General features: G+C 40.3%; 1 protein-coding gene and 1 long non-coding RNA gene across 10 annotated transcripts in view, besides 1 other annotated feature; one reads left to right on the top strand and one right to left on the bottom strand.

The window, feature by feature from the left end:
• The window catches only part of PLD5 (phospholipase D family member 5), a 447561-nt gene that overhangs the window by 182775 nt on the left and 249143 nt on the right, over positions 1-15643 (bottom strand). The window lies entirely within an intron of this gene.
• LOC105373235 (uncharacterized) lies at positions 866-3810 on the top strand. The gene is made up of 3 exons (XR_949330.4): positions 866-954; positions 2392-2501; positions 3728-3810. It is a non-coding gene; the product is annotated as an uncharacterized LOC105373235 (long non-coding RNA).
• Positions 4475-4976: an enhancer, noted in NCBI's record as "NANOG hESC enhancer chr1:242433537-242434038 (GRCh37/hg19 assembly coordinates)". NCBI's record gives its function as "activates a minimal SCP1, AML or CMV promoter by ChIP-STARR-seq in naive and primed H9 embryonic stem cells {active_cell/tissue: H9 hESC(naive and primed)}" and the evidence as "EXISTENCE:reporter gene assay evidence [ECO:0000049][PMID:30033119]".

Raw genomic sequence — 15643 nt, forward strand, 5'->3', positions numbered from 1 at the left:
AGCAAAGAAGATTAAGCAGTTGTGTTTTGGCCCAAAGAGACCTGGATTCCAGCTGGTTTTCCAATTTAAAAGCTGTTTCTTAATCTCACTAATCTCCAGTTTCTTCCTCTGCAAAATGCAGATAATATTTATATTTACTTCAAAAGGTTTTTGTGAGATTAAAGAAGTTAATAGTAAGCATTCTTTAAGAATTAGCTGTTAAGAGGGAAATTATGGTTACTAATCAGTGATTTACCTGAATTCATGTTGTTTAAATGTATTTTAATGAATTCAACTAATGTTCTGCCTAAAAATAAGTGAAATAAAAAACAAAATCAAAAATAAAAGTTTTTCAGCCAGGCATGGTGGTTCATGCCTCTAATCCCAGAACTTTGGGAGGCTGAGGCAGGTGGATCACTTGAGGCCAAGAGTCTGAGACCAGTCCAGCCTGGCCAACCTGGTGAAACTCTGTTTCTACTAAAAATAGAAAAATTAGCTGGGCATGGTGGTGCGCACTTTTATTCCCAGCTACTCAGGAGGCTGAGGCAGGAGAATTGCTTGAACCTGGGAGGCAGAGGTTACAGTGAACCAAGGTTGCACCAGAGCACTCCAGCCTGGGCGACAGAACAAGAATCCATCTCAACAAACAAATAAATAAAAGTTTTATCTATGGGAGTTTCAAAAGCATATAATTTTTAGAGTAAGTTTTAATCTCAGGCAGACTGAATAACAGTAGGTCCACAGTCATTGCATTATCTCAGGTCATCAGATTGCACCATTATCCTATTTATCATCCTTTGTATGTTTTAATAGACTCCCGTCTGTCTCCTTATCATAAAAGGAAAATGGTCTTCTTGTATTGATTTTTTAGATTTTTTGCTGTTGGTTCACAAACTCAAATGCCTTCAGGAGCTAAACAGAGAATAAGGCTTTGGTCTTAATGGCCCCACAGTGGCAAGGTCTTATCTTGCTCTGGTAAGAATGGACTGTGGATAATGATATGGAATGGGTTTGGTGACTTGGGAAGAGAGAATGGTAGAAATGTGGAGGCAGAGAGGTGATTCCTGCAATTCAGCCTTAGAAAAGAGAGAAGCTGGCCGGGTGCGTAGCCTCACACCTGTAATCCCAGCACTTTGGGGGACTGAGGCGGGCACAACACCTGAGGTCAGGAGTTTGAAACCAGCCTGGTCAACATGGGGAAACCCAGTCTCTACTAAAAATACAAAAATCAGCTGGGCATGGTGGTGGGTGCCTGTAATCCCAGCTACCCTGGAGGCTGAGGCAGGAGAATCACTGGAACCTGGGAGGTGGAGGTTACAGTGAGCTGAGATCACGCCACTGAACTCCAGCCTGGGCGACAGAGTGAGACTCCATCAAAAAATAAATAAATAAAAAAACAAAAAAAAAAGAGAGAGAAAAGAGAGAAAGGAAAGGAAATGGAAAGGGAAAAGGAAAAGGAAAGGGAAAGGGAAAGGGAGAAACTGAAGATCAAGACCCTGAAGCTTTAGGGTGTTAGGAGAAAGAAGCTGCCAGTGCTGAGGTCACAGCTGACAGCAGCAGGAGTATCTGGCACATCCAGCTGTGCTCTAGCCTGGAGCTGGCTGGCATAGCCATTGCTCCATAATCCCTGGGTGTTGGACAACAGAGTGGAAGTTGCACCATTGCACCTGTGCCATGCATGGAGGCTTCCTTTTAGTTTAAACAAGCGTAGAAATAAAAGTTGCTCAAAGTGGAGCTCATTGAAAGTGATTAAATTTCTCTGTACTCCAAAAGCCTGGAGGAAGCCTCACCACAAACCAGGTATTCTGGTATGGTATGTTGAGTGCATCAGACAGTTATTAACTCCTTATTTAAAAAAGAGGCAGAGGCCGAGCTTATCCTTGTAATCCCAGTGCTTTGGGAGGCCAAGGTGGAAGAATCACTTGACCCCAGGAGTTCGAGACCAGCCTGGGCAATATCAGGAGACCCTGTCTCTACAAAAAGTTAAAAAAAAAAAAAAAAGCCAGGCATGATGGTGCACGCCTGTAGTCCCTGCTACTCAGGAGGATGAGGTTGTGCTTGAGCCTGGGAGTCTAAGGATGCAGTGAGCCATGATTGTGCCACTGCACACCAGCCTGGGCAACACAGCTAGACCCCATCTCCAAAAATTAAAAAAAAAAAAAAAGAGGCAGGAGGGGAGAGGGAGGGTGAGAGAAAGAGACAGAGGCAACCAGAGAGACAGAGAAGGACAGGAAAGAAAAAAATGTGCTGATTTGCAGATTTTAGTGCCTTTGTAAATTTTAAATTTACTGTGTAGAGGTAGGAGCTTGGATGGTGAGAGGCTCAGGTACAGGATGTGAGGGAGAATCCACGTCAAGGGGCTTTATGGTTCTTCCACAGACAGAATTGACACCAATAATACCTCCTTTTCAGCTTTGGCACTCCTCCAAGGAGTCCATTCTACTCTTACTCCATTGAAGGTTTGGTGATGTGTGCATGGCCCAGATTTCCCGAACCTAAACTCGTGGTCATCTCACGTTCACGTAAGTTGTTTGTATTTTTCCCTTTCACACAAACAAACACTTCGTGTGTTCCGTAAGGCCCCATGGTCAGTGGGCCAGTATTTTTTGGCAAATTCATTTATTTTTTTAGTTAACAGAATATATTTGGCACCGATGAAACATTCAAGAGACCATCTAACTTATCTGTATTTCTGGCTCTGTGACTTAAATTGATTTCCACTGTGTTATTTTTGTGGGACTTAAAGACAACCAGAACTCTCACACATGAATGAAAATAGAAATTCCAAAATCTACAGATACTGGCAGACTGTCATTAAATAAAGCTTATTTTTACTTTTAGTATGTGCTGATTACTTACACCAAGGAATCCCACAATTTTTAATTATAGTGCTCACTGTAACGATCTTGGGCTTGGGTAGAGTTTCCATACTTAGGCTTGAGGTAGAATTTCTATTAAATCGTCTTCAGTGTGTTATCTCCCCATATGATAATTTTTGTTAAGACATTCAAAATGTAATCATTTCCAAAGGTATTAAACCCTACTCTGTGCAGAGATCTGCAGTAAGGCCTCCTAATGCTTTCTGAGTTACATTCACTCATTTTTTTTAATTTTAACTTTTGAGATGGAGTCTCGATCTGTCGCCCAGACTGGGGTGCAGTGATGTGATCTCGGCTCACTGCAACCTCTGCCTCCTGGGTTCAAGTGATTCTCCTGCCTCAGCTTCCCATGTAGCTGGCACTACAGGCACCTGCCACCATGATCGACTAATTTTTGTATTTTTAGTAGAGATAGGGTTTCACCATGTTGGCCAGGCTGGTCTTGAACTCCTAACTTGAGGTGATCCACCTCCCTCGGCCTCCCAAAGTTCTGGGATTATAGGCATGAGCCACTGTGCCCGACCTCACTCATCATTTTTTTAATAAGAAATAACAAAAGCCCCTTGGCTTTTAAACATCACCAATATAAAATCTTGCCCTTTCTAGTAAAGAACATTAGCCAACATTTCAGACTTAGATAAATTATCTCAAAGACTATCAGTGTCTCAGGAACGCTGACCTACTTTAGACCAATTTGTAAATGAAGTCTGTAAAAACCTCATGATGTACAGTAGAGTCGTATGCAGGAAGCTGTACCCCCAAAATAGAGATCCAGCTCAGCCCCTTTGTGACTTTGAAGAGGATGCTTAATGTAGGAGACCCTTCAATCCTGTAGGGGAGGAAATAAACCTGTTTCTCTACCCTCCTAGGTTCAATGGCTGGGCCCAGGAATCAAACTGATGAAAAACTATCAAGAGAGAACCAACAACATTTTAATTATGTACACACAAAGTTTTAATTACATGCATACAAGGGAATCCAGCAAAGAAACAAGACTCAAGGAGGTTGCCGGATGATTAAGGTTTATATACTATCTTTGGCTAAGCAAAGGAAAATGAGTTTGGGGCTTCCAGGTGGGGAAGGCAAGTTATAAGAAGGTGAGGAGAAGTATGGTAAGTAAGGTTTGTCCTGTTATACAGGTAAGAGCCTTTCAGGTGATGACAGCTGTCTCCAGGAGTCGCTCTCTTCCTGGTACGGAGCCATCATTTTTACGCAATTAGAGAAAGGTTAAAAAAAAACTCTTCCTGCACTGCCGGTTCTCAATTCCCCATAGGTCAAAATAATCCATATGCCAAAGGGGTCTATTTTGAGGTGGCATCTTCTGGTACCTTTCAATTCCAAAAGACTGGTGGGTCATAAATACTGCTTACTTCTGTTGACCCAAAACAACTGGGAGACAGGATGAAATGCCCAAACACAATGTGAAGGAAATAAGCAAAAACACCAAACAGAAACCCAAAGTCATGTTAGAGAAACTTAATTCTGAGGCTTATGTAGACTCTAGTGCTGGCTTTCAAGCTTGTTTTAGCAGTTGAACTCTTAGTGCAAATAAAAAGGTAAGCGAAACCTCTCCAATCCCTTCCTTTCCTCCCATACAGAATCCGCGGGGCTCCACAGAACACAGATGGAAAAACCACTGAATTTTACTCCACATCATAATGAGAACCTTCAGGATACTGAGATTTCCTACAAACTGAGAAGGCCGTAGCTGGAAGACCACTTAGATCAATAATCAGCCAATCTCTTCATCTTACAAACGAGGACACAGAGGTACAAGAAACTGAGTGACATGCTGATGACCACATGGCTTGCTAGTGGCAGTCAGGCCTAGAACATACATCTCTCTTCCTGATGCAACACAGTTCTCCCTGAATGATCATTTTGTTATGTTAAAGTCGGAAAAGGAAGGGGTATTCTTAAAGAAAGTTACTCCCCAGTCTCTCCCACTCTTTCCATTCCCAGCTACGGTCTAATAGACTCTCCCAAGCCAAGCAGTGCTGGGGCTGAGGGACACTCAATTACCAGCAGACTCAGGTTCTGGGGAGTCCAGAGGCCTGCAGAATAATTCTTAGCCCTATATGAGTGTTCCAGAGTTGCCTGTTCTTCAAAAGGTGGTGCAGGAGCCAAGGCCACCTCCCTAAACCCAAGGCTGGGTATATGAGGGGAGAGGCCTCCTTTGGTTGCCCCAGTGGGGAACTAGTAAACCATCCAATGCTATATCTCCAGTCTTTACCTTCCTTCACCTGAAGGATGGAAGCCACTAATAATCTGATAAAGTTAAATATCAACACATTTAAAGAGAACCAATTACAAGAAGGAAGATGCTTAACACAATGGGGACCTGGTGATACAGGCGATACAGGCTCCTGGAGAAGATGGAAGTTAGAACTAAAACACAATATGTGCACTGAAGGATGGCCAAGTGTGTCTGGTACTAATACTCGATGATTTTAGAACTAACTTAGAAGAGTAATTAAAGAACCATATGGCCATTGTTGAAGCCTGGATTAGTGGCCTGAATATCAAATGCAAGAAATATCTCAAAGTACACATGTGCATGTACACACACACACACACACACACAGAGAGAGAGAGAGAGAGAGAGAGAGAGAGAGAGAGAGAGAGAAACATAAGGGGAATCAGGGGAAAAGGCTGATATATAAATAGAGGAGATACAGCATGTGGCTCATAGGCATACAAAAAAGATTAGGTTTGCAAATAATACCAAAATAAAAAAAAAATGATCCAAGTTGAGGGAAGAACTAAATCTACAAGGTGAAAAGGTACCTGAAGGTGAAGGCAAATTTGAAAAAAACTTAGAGCTATATTCTGTAAAATTACTTAACATCGAGGAGAAAGAACAACCTCTCACCAAAACAATAGTTACCCATCAAGGAAAATGAATCAGATAGACTGGCAGAGATCTAACCAGCTGCAAGTACATGGTTGTATAGCCTATGGAAGACAAAGACTGAGGCCCAAGAATCCTTTACACACTCAAGAATGTTACCTGCCAGGGTGAAAGAAATATTTGCAGATATAAACAGACTTAGAGACTATCTTGCCTACTTAACCCATATGGGGAACATATTCATATTTAAAGAAAAACTGTAACCAAACAGTAAATAACACTGAACACCATCAAAGAAGATGAGGGGAGAAGAAATAAGTGAGGAACAATACGATATGTACATGTGTTTCATGCACTCAATGTGGGTTTTTGAAATGGAAGTCACACATTACAGGGGAAGGTCTACTGAGAATCAATTACACGCATTCTCAATGGGAGCGATATTGCCCCAAAGGGACTGAAATAGTGTTACTCTTTCGATGACTAACACACAGATATACATAGAACACATATGCAGTATATCTGTGATATTATAATATCATGGGAGGCAGTATTAAGAAAAAAATATATTAGAAGGCTCCTCAGGAAGATAATAATAAAAAACAGGTTGAGAAATGCTGATCTACAATCAACAGGATAAACAATCTCAGTAAAAGTTATACGAAAAATGGAGGTGAGCTTTAAGGTATTAGATGGGAAAAAGTGGGTCATTTTTATGAAATGACACAATTTATGGTGCTTTGAGAGCTGTAAACTGAGATGTACCAAAGAGCATGGCAACTAAATATATAAAGCAAAAATTAATAGAAATGCAATTAATACACTATCACAATGTAATACTTCAAAATATATTTCTCAAAATTGGGCAGATCTAATAGAAAACAAATGAGACTATATAAAAATTATATATTATCAATAAACTTGATTATATGTATACTTTTATATACTTCTCACTCTATATATCAAATCCCCTTAAAACAATTTTCGTTTGTGGAACATTTACAAAAATCTGTCTTGTAACTGCCATTAAGAAGCCTGAACAAAAGTTATAATGAGATATTCTATAGGCTTCATTCTCAGCTCACAATCTAAGGAAGTTAGCAACAAATCATTTACATGTTTTGTGAGTATAAAACAAATCTTATCTATTTGGAAATTTAAAACTCACTCTTAGATTGTCCTTATACCAAAGAAGAAAAGTAAATGTATGCCTTCTCTAGAAAGCTATGAATAGGTGGGTACCTCATAGCAAAACCATGAAAGGAGGCAATATCTGGTGTGGAAGGGAAATTTATAACCATAAATACCTTCAGTATTATTTTTAAAATACTATAAAATCATATTCATCATATTAACATGGTAGAGGCATAAGAATGTATAAATATAGAAGGGAACTTAATAGATAATCCAGAAATGGTATGCACAAGATTTTTTGTTTGTTTTTTTTTCTTTTTTAATTTTTAAGTTCTGGGATACATGTGCAGAACGTGCAGGTTTGTTACATAGGTATACATGTGCCATGGTGGTTTGCTGCACCTGTCAACCCATCATCTGGGTTTTAAGGCCGGCATGCATTAGGTATTTGTCCTAATGCTCTCCCTCCCCTTGCCCCCCATCCCCCAACAGGCCCTGGCATGTGATGTTCCCCTCCCTGTGTCCATGTGTTCTCATTGTTTGAATCCCACTTATGAATGAAAACATGTGGTGTTTTGTTTTCTGTTCCTGTGTTAGTTTGCTGAGAATGATGGCTTCTAGCTTCATCCATGTCCCTGCAAAGGACATGAACTCATTCTTTTTTATGGCTGCATAGTATTCCATGGTGTATATGTGCCATATTTTCTTTATCCAGTCTATCATTGATGGGCATTTGGGTTGGTTCCAAGTCTTTGCTATTGTAAATAGAGGCACAATATTTTTATCAATAAAAAGACGCTATTTTAATTCAGTTCGAAACAGTTAAAAAGGTTTAATCCGGCACATATGAAGGGACCTCTATATTATATTACAAATAAAAATGTGTTTCCAGTCAGAATTAGTACACACTAATACTTTCAAAAAAATCCAGGCAATGATGTGCACTGTCTTGGAATGGGGGAACCTTAATCAGGCTGTTAGCAGGCTAAAAAATGGCTCCCCAAAGATAGTGCATCTGAATCTCTGGAGCCTGTCAATGTTACCTTATTTGGAAATAGGGTCTTTGCAGACATTATTAAATTAAGGATCTTATGATGGGGGATTATCCTGGATTATCTGAGGATAATCCTAAATACAATCACAAGTGTACTTATAAGAGATGGGCAAAAGGGGATTTGACACAACTAGAGGAGAAGACACTGTGAAGATGGAGCAGGAAGAGAATGGAAGATGCTGGCCTTGAAGGCTGGAAGGTGCAGCAGCAAGCCAAGGAATGCCAGAAGCCACCAGGAGCTGGGAGAGCCGAGGAATGCTGGCAGGCTCTGGAGCCACTGGAGGGAGCATCACCCTCTGACACCTTGGTTTTGATCCGGGGAAACTGATTTCGGGCTTCCTACCTCCAGGTCTGTAAGAAAATAAATTTCTGTTTCTTAAACCAAAAAGTCCATGGCAATTTGTTACAGTAGCCACAGGAAATGAATATACAAGCCAGCTATATAAAAGTAATAAAAGAGAATACAGACATATAGAATTATAACATATTTAAATAAATTATACTGCAAAAGATACTACAAAGTTAATAAGAAAATCTGGAATAAATATTTGCTACACAAATGAGAGATGAAGGGATAATAGCTGTACTCTACAAAATGTGTTAAAAATTGGCTAGGTGCAGTGCTTACGCCTATAATCCCAGTGCTTTGGAAGGCCATGTGGGGGCGGAGGATCACTTGAGGCCAAGAGTTTGAGACCAGCCTGGACAACATAGTGAGGGTCTGTTTCTATCAAACAAAAATAATAAAAGTCCTAAAGCCCAGTAAAATGCAGGCAAAGTATGAGAACAGTCAATGACTAAGAAAAGCAAGCCTTGGCCAGGCGTGGTGGCTCACGCCTGTAATCCCAGCATTTTGGGAGGCCGAGGCGGGTGGATCACAAGGTCAGGAGATCGAGACCATCCTGGCTAACACGGTGAAACCCCATCTCTACTAAAAATACAAAAAATTAGCCAGGTGTGGTGGCGGGCGCCTGTAGTCCCAGCTACTCAGGAGGCTGAGGTAGGAGAATGGCGTGAACCCGGGAAGCGGGGGTTGCAGTGAGCTGAGATCGCGCCACTGCACTCCAGCCTGGGGGACAGAGCAAGACTCAGTCTCCAAAAAAAAAAGAAAAGCAAGCCTCTATGGCCAACAGACATAGGGAGATGCTTTTTGTAATCAAGGAAGCTCAAAGCAGCACAATAAAGAGACCTTTCTTTGTACTCAAAGAGACTGAAAAACATTTAAGAGTGTCAACACTTCCTCTCGTCAGAGATTTGGAGATTTGGGGAAATGATACTCTGACATATCGGCTTTCTTCCACCCAGGAATCCTACACCTAGAAATCTATCCCAGAGAAACATAAGCGCCCAATTGCAGAAGAGTTTATCTTGGATATACCATTATCCTACTTACACACATATATATATGTGTGTGTATACGTGCATATAAAGTTTAAGTGAAAATTAAAAAGGAAATATAACTGATTGAACATATTAAACATTTGATGCTATAGTCTTAAGAAAATAAGATTTAGGATTTAAGTCAAAGTGTTCTTTTGAAGCAATATACTAGCATTGATTTTTTTTTTAATTTATGACCTAAGAGGAAAGATCATATGATATATGAATATATATTCATATTCATATAGATATGAATCCCCTTTGGGCTTAATTCATTAGTTTAATCAATTAGTTAAATTTGCTATAAGATTGATATTTATTTACTTATATTACTTATATTTATTTACTTACTTATATCTTACTGAATTTTTAGTTTGTAGGATATACAAAGTTTGCCACAGATATAAGTATGAAGGTTATTTCCTTGTATATTTGTCAGTGTTAGCCTTTATTCTCAAATGACCTTGGATAAAGAGAAGTGACTTTTAGGCCAATTCATTCAAAGCATTTATTTACTGGTTGCTTCCTATGTGTCAGCGACCTGAAAGTACTAGTGATATTCAAGGAGAATATGTAGATGACAGATAAGCAAATACAGCCCAATATTCCAAATTCCAGGATGGAGGAAGACAGAGCAAGGGAAAAGCATAGCATGGCATCAATAATCCAGCATAAGGCCTCAGGGAAAGTTCCCCAAAGAAAGGTAGGGAAGAAAGAATGTTCCAGGTGGAGCCTATGGCAGAATCCAGAAAGCAGGCAGGAGACAGGAGAGATAAATGGGGTCACATGATGAAGGGCCTTGTAAGACGCATTGAAGAGTTTGGATCTCATCTGGAAGACAATGTGGACCCTCTGAAGCATTTAACCCAGTGAAGGACACAATCACGTTTTTGTTCTAAGAAAAGAACTCGGACTGCAAATTGGGGAATGATAGTTACAGGGGAGAACTGGAGACTGAAAGAGCAATGAGGTTGGTGAAATAGGGAAGTATCAATTGCAATGAAAAAAAACTGGAAAGAGCTGGGTGTGCTGGCTCATGCCTGTAATCACAACCACTTGGTCAGGCCAGGCAGGAGGATCACTTGAGGCTTGGAGCTGGAGACCAGCCTGAGCAATATAACCAGACACATTTCTAAAAATATTTAAAAACATCAGCTGGGCATGGTGGCACAGACCTATAGTTCTAGCTACTTGAGAGGCTGAGGCAGGATTGCTTGAACCCAGGAGGATAAAGCTGAAGGTGAGCTTATGATTGTGCCACTGCTGCCCAGCCTGGGCAACAAAGCAAGACCTTTTTCATATATTCATATATATATGAATATTTAAATATGTATTAATATTTACAATTATATATAAATTATATATACATATTGTATACATTTGTATATATACACAAATTATATATATATGAATATATATGAATATTTATAAATTGGAAAGAATCCAGGTATTGTTTATGAGATAACACAGTGATGAACCTGCTGATTAGGCTTGGAGCTTAAGAGAGAGAGGGGAATTGGAGTGGTGGCCAGAATATGCAAATAGTTCTAAGGATGTGCCAGGAGAAATATGGAATTCCTTATCCCAAACCCAGAAGATAGCGGCCGCTTCATCTCTTCACAGATGTCCCAATGGATCAATCAGAGCTTTAGGAGTTCAGTGCCACAGACCCAGCACCTTGATTGACAGTACTCATTTTTTGGCAATGAGCCACAAGGAATATCTGCTTGAAACCAGTGGAGAGTATCTGGCGTGGAGGCATGCAGGCTGCCTGTCCATTCATCATAACAGGCTCCACCTCATTAGAGGATTTAATGAGTCTGAACAGTTCATCATCAAGGCCTTGCTTAATGATGGTTATCTCAATGATGCACCCTGTGGGCATAAACATAGCCATCCCTGTCAGGGACAGATGAAGAGAGATGAATATGCTCATCATGCCAATCACGGGCCAGGAAATAGCAAGAGATTAATATCAGAAGCAGGAGGCTGGTAACCAGGCTCTCGGCGGCTGGAATCCTACAGTAGCTGAAAATTACCTGTGGGGTTGCTCGAGCGTCCACTCTGGCTGCAGAGGGGACAGACAACATTATCTTGGTACTGCCTTTCAGCAGTGTCTGGAAGAGCACAGCATCCACAGCCTGGCATCATTCCTTTGCTCCAGGGGAAAGAGGGGAGACCAAGGCAAGAAAGGAACACCAGAATGTGCCAAATATCCCCAATGCTTCCACAATCACTTATTCCAGGTGGGAAGAGGACCCCACGCAGAATGGACAGAGAATTCCTTCAAAACCTCACTGCAGTGAGATTCCAGCATCCTCAGGGAAAAGCCATGAGAACTTGCCACATGCTCCCTAAATATTCCATGGTCTTAACAAAGCAGCTCAGATACCCTATCCTTACATTTTGAGAATTGATCTTGAGCAAATGGACAGTAAGAAAAAAACGCACAGATATTTACTGCAGCAGCTCATTCAGAAAAAGGGGGAAAAGATAAATGCTTAAATGTCCAATAGAGGGAAATAGTTATATTAACTTAACCTGGTAAGTCTAATACATTGTATGTTATGCAGCCAATTAAAATATGTTTACCAGTGTTTCTAATAAAATGGAAAGATGCTTACGTTGTAATGTTAAGTTCAAAATTAAGATACAATTCTTTAGGCTGGGCACAGTGGCTCACACCTGTAATCCCAGCACTTTGGGAGGCCGACGCGGAAGGATCACTTAAGGCCGGGAGTTTGAGACCAGCCTGGCCAACACGGTGAAACCTCATCTCTACTGAAAATACAAAAATTAGCCAGGCGTGGTGGTGCACACCTGTACTCTCAGCTACTTGGCAGGCTGAAGCAGGAGAACTGCTTGCACCCGGGAGATGGAGGTTGCAGTGAGCTGAGATCACGCCACTGCACTCCAGCCTGGGTGACAGAGTGAGACCCTGTCTCAAAAACAAACAAACAAACAAAACATATAATTCTTTTTATATAATATGAGCCTATGTATACAAATTATGCATGAAATATCAAACTGTCAAAAACTTTTTTTGTTGGCGGCCATTTGGAGGATTTGGTTTCTCTCTCATTTCTCCATAGTTTCCAAATTTTTGATCGTGAGAGGTTCTTACTAATGACAAAGGAAAAAATCTGACCTATTCGAGTGAAAGTACCAAAAAAAATGGTCATAGAAAAATAGGAAAAACACAAATGAAGATACAGAGAAAAAATAAACCAGCATACAAGCAAGCAAACTCAGATAAGACAATCTTAAAGAAAGTAATTAATACGAACAATTAGAAGGCATATCTTAGGTTCATGATTTATTCATGGCCATATGATTGGATTTAAAAGGAATCATAGAGGTTAAACTCTTACTAATGATAATGCTTATGAGTTTATATTAGAATAATGATTTCCCATAGAAATATGTTGGAAAGCAAGCAAGAACATAATCAGGATTACTCAACAGATGGGGAAATGGCAGCATGAAGCAGCAGCAGGAACATACCAAGAAAAAACAGGACCAAAATCCACCGTGTGAGCTCTGCTGCACAGTTCAAAAGCAGAGGTAATCCTGCATGAGCCAATTTGCTGAGAGCACCCCTCAGTGTTGTTCTACTATGCTGTATCGTTATAAATGGTTTTATGTTTGTCTGTCTCCCTCACCACACTTTGAGCTCTATGGAGGTAGCGACCCTTGCTTATTTGATTTTCTATCCCCAGCAAATAGCACAGCACCTTGATAAATGTTTGTTCAATAAAGGCACATTTAACATCATTTTGTTGCCACATTTAAAATGGGAGGATGCTAATTAACAAATAAGCATTTGCTGAGTGTTGATTCTGTGGAGCAGGGAATAGATGTTACTTTGAAATAAAGGGGCACTCTTTCCGTGAGGTTATGCTGTCTTTATGCTGACACTGTACCAGGAGTTCTACTGATATCATATGCAGCCTGGAGATGAAAAGGCTGAAGGTAATCTACTGTTTCAAACCAAAAAGCAATCACTGAGCTCCATTTTGTTACTGGTGGTACGCTGGACAATAACACCAGCAGGATAAATACGATGTGGGTCCTAGAGTCCAGGGCTATGTGGAATATCCAAGTACAAGCTGCTACTCATTTACATCACTACTGAGGGAACAATTGCAATCACAGGATTAATTTGAAACACACAAAGTTAGGTTGACAAACTGGGGTAGGGACCAACCTGGCCCGATCTTGGAACCTATGAAAGTTGAACAATGTTTATTAGACCGGGATGGTTTAAAACAGTGATTCTCAATCCTGGGTGCCCAGTAAAATCCCCTCATCGTTTTTAGAAGTATTGAAGCCTGGGCCCCTCTCCAAATATTGTGACCTAACTAGTCTAGGATGGGCTTGGGCATAAGCGTATTTTAAAATCTCCCCAGGTGACTCTGACTGGCAGCCACAGTTGAAAACCACCATATTGGGAGAGAAAAGTGGGAGTCTACCTGAAAAATATGTGTATTTTTCTGTCTCTCATTTTTTTTTTTCGAGACCGAGTCTTGCTGTGTCACCAGGCTGTAGAGCAGTGGCACAATCTCAGCTCACTGCAACCTCTGCCTCCCGGGTTCAAGCGATTCCCCCGCCTCAGCCTCCTAAGTACCTGGGACTACAGGCGCCTGCCACCACACCCAGCTAATTTTTTGTATTTTAGTAGAAATGGGGTTTAACCATGTTGGCCAGGATGGTCTTGACCTACTGACCTCGTGATCCACCCGCCTCAGCCTCCCAAAGTGCTGGGATTACAGGCGTTGGCCACCACGCCCGGCATCTCCTTTCTTCACCTAAACCCTAGAGAGCAATTTGAATTGTATTCTGTGTAGAATTTTCTATCTTAACTTCTTTTCATATAAGTTGAAATCTTGACAGACAGCTGAATATTATTCTTTTTGTAAGATTACATAGAGAGTCGTGTCCACTAAATTTGAAAGTAAATGTCCTGCATCAAAACAACAAAAATGAAAACCACAGCTATCTTTTAAAAGCTCCATTCTTTATTGTTTTACAAATATTATCTAATTGAATTCACCAAGCAATCAAATGAGATAGGATTATTAAAATACCCATTTTATAGAGGGGTATAAATTTATAAATCAGAATTAATTTTAATTAATAGATGGGAACACTGAAGATCAGATGAGTTGTGACATTTGTTCAATGTGACCACAACTACTAAACTATTAGTCAATCAAATGTATAAATGACAAAGCCTATGATCTTTCCCCTGTAGTACATGGATCTGGAATAACACTGCGAATTTGCCTTTTCTATAAAACCAAGCGCTGAGAACTAAATATAAACAAAATACACAATTCTCACCTGAGCCAAATAACAACAGAGAATTTGTATGTATCCTAATTATGCTTTCATTAATTTATACGTGTTTTATTTTTCCCTATGTCCTCATTAAAAATAGACAAACTAGACGGTAGGAAGTTTGCATAATATAGTAGAAATATGTATAAGCCCTCAGGATCTACAACAAAACAAAAATGAAATGTGTGTTTTTATGTTGCATCAGAATATCCTGCTTTCCCTGACTGCTTTACCCAACCTGCCACTTACAATAGGCTCAAAGAATTTCAATTATTTAAAGGATCTAGTCTCCACCAACTATGCCAATCTTTTTCCAGGCAAAATGAAAACTAGGAAATGCTATGATGTTATTTTCTTGGGTTAAAAAAAATTGTTAAGAAATTTTAATTAAATATTCCATGTTCAGGCCACACGAGTATTAGATAGTTTTATCAGACTTTTACATGGGAGTGACGTTGTCAAAAACAGGATTCTTCTGGGTTTCAGGCATAGCCCTGTGTTACAAAGTAGATGCTGACTGTTTGCATGATAAATGAATAAAGAGTCTCCTTCAGAAGACTTGAGGGAATGGAGACTTGCCTAGGATTGTAGGGATGGGCAAGAAAGGACAAGTAGGCTTAGAGAGCCAGGGAAGATGGAGAATGGAAAAGATGACGGAGCCTGGGAACAAGAGATGCTGGAGGCAGGGGGCCATAGAGGACTCCACCAGGCTGCGGGCTTCCTTAGGACAGATAAGAGGCATTATGGGCCAAAACGTGCAGTGGTTTTAATAGAAAATGTTAATAATATCATTTACAAATGAATCGTAAGGATGGCTATGAAACAAACATGGCAAGGAAACGTTTTATAAGTTTGATGAAACAAAAGCCCTTGTCTGTTGGTCAAACTGCATTGATCGCATCAGTTAGGAAGAATATTGCAGAAAAGGAATGAGTGGGCTACCAGGTAGCGCCTGGAGACCTGAGTCACACATGGATACAGCTGCCTGAATCACAATGGCAGGGTCACATGAATGTTGCCAGGTCA

Source organism: Homo sapiens, chromosome 1 (assembly GCF_000001405.40).
Source record: "Homo sapiens chromosome 1, GRCh38.p14 Primary Assembly".
Taxonomy (NCBI): domain Eukaryota; kingdom Metazoa; phylum Chordata; class Mammalia; order Primates; family Hominidae; genus Homo; species Homo sapiens.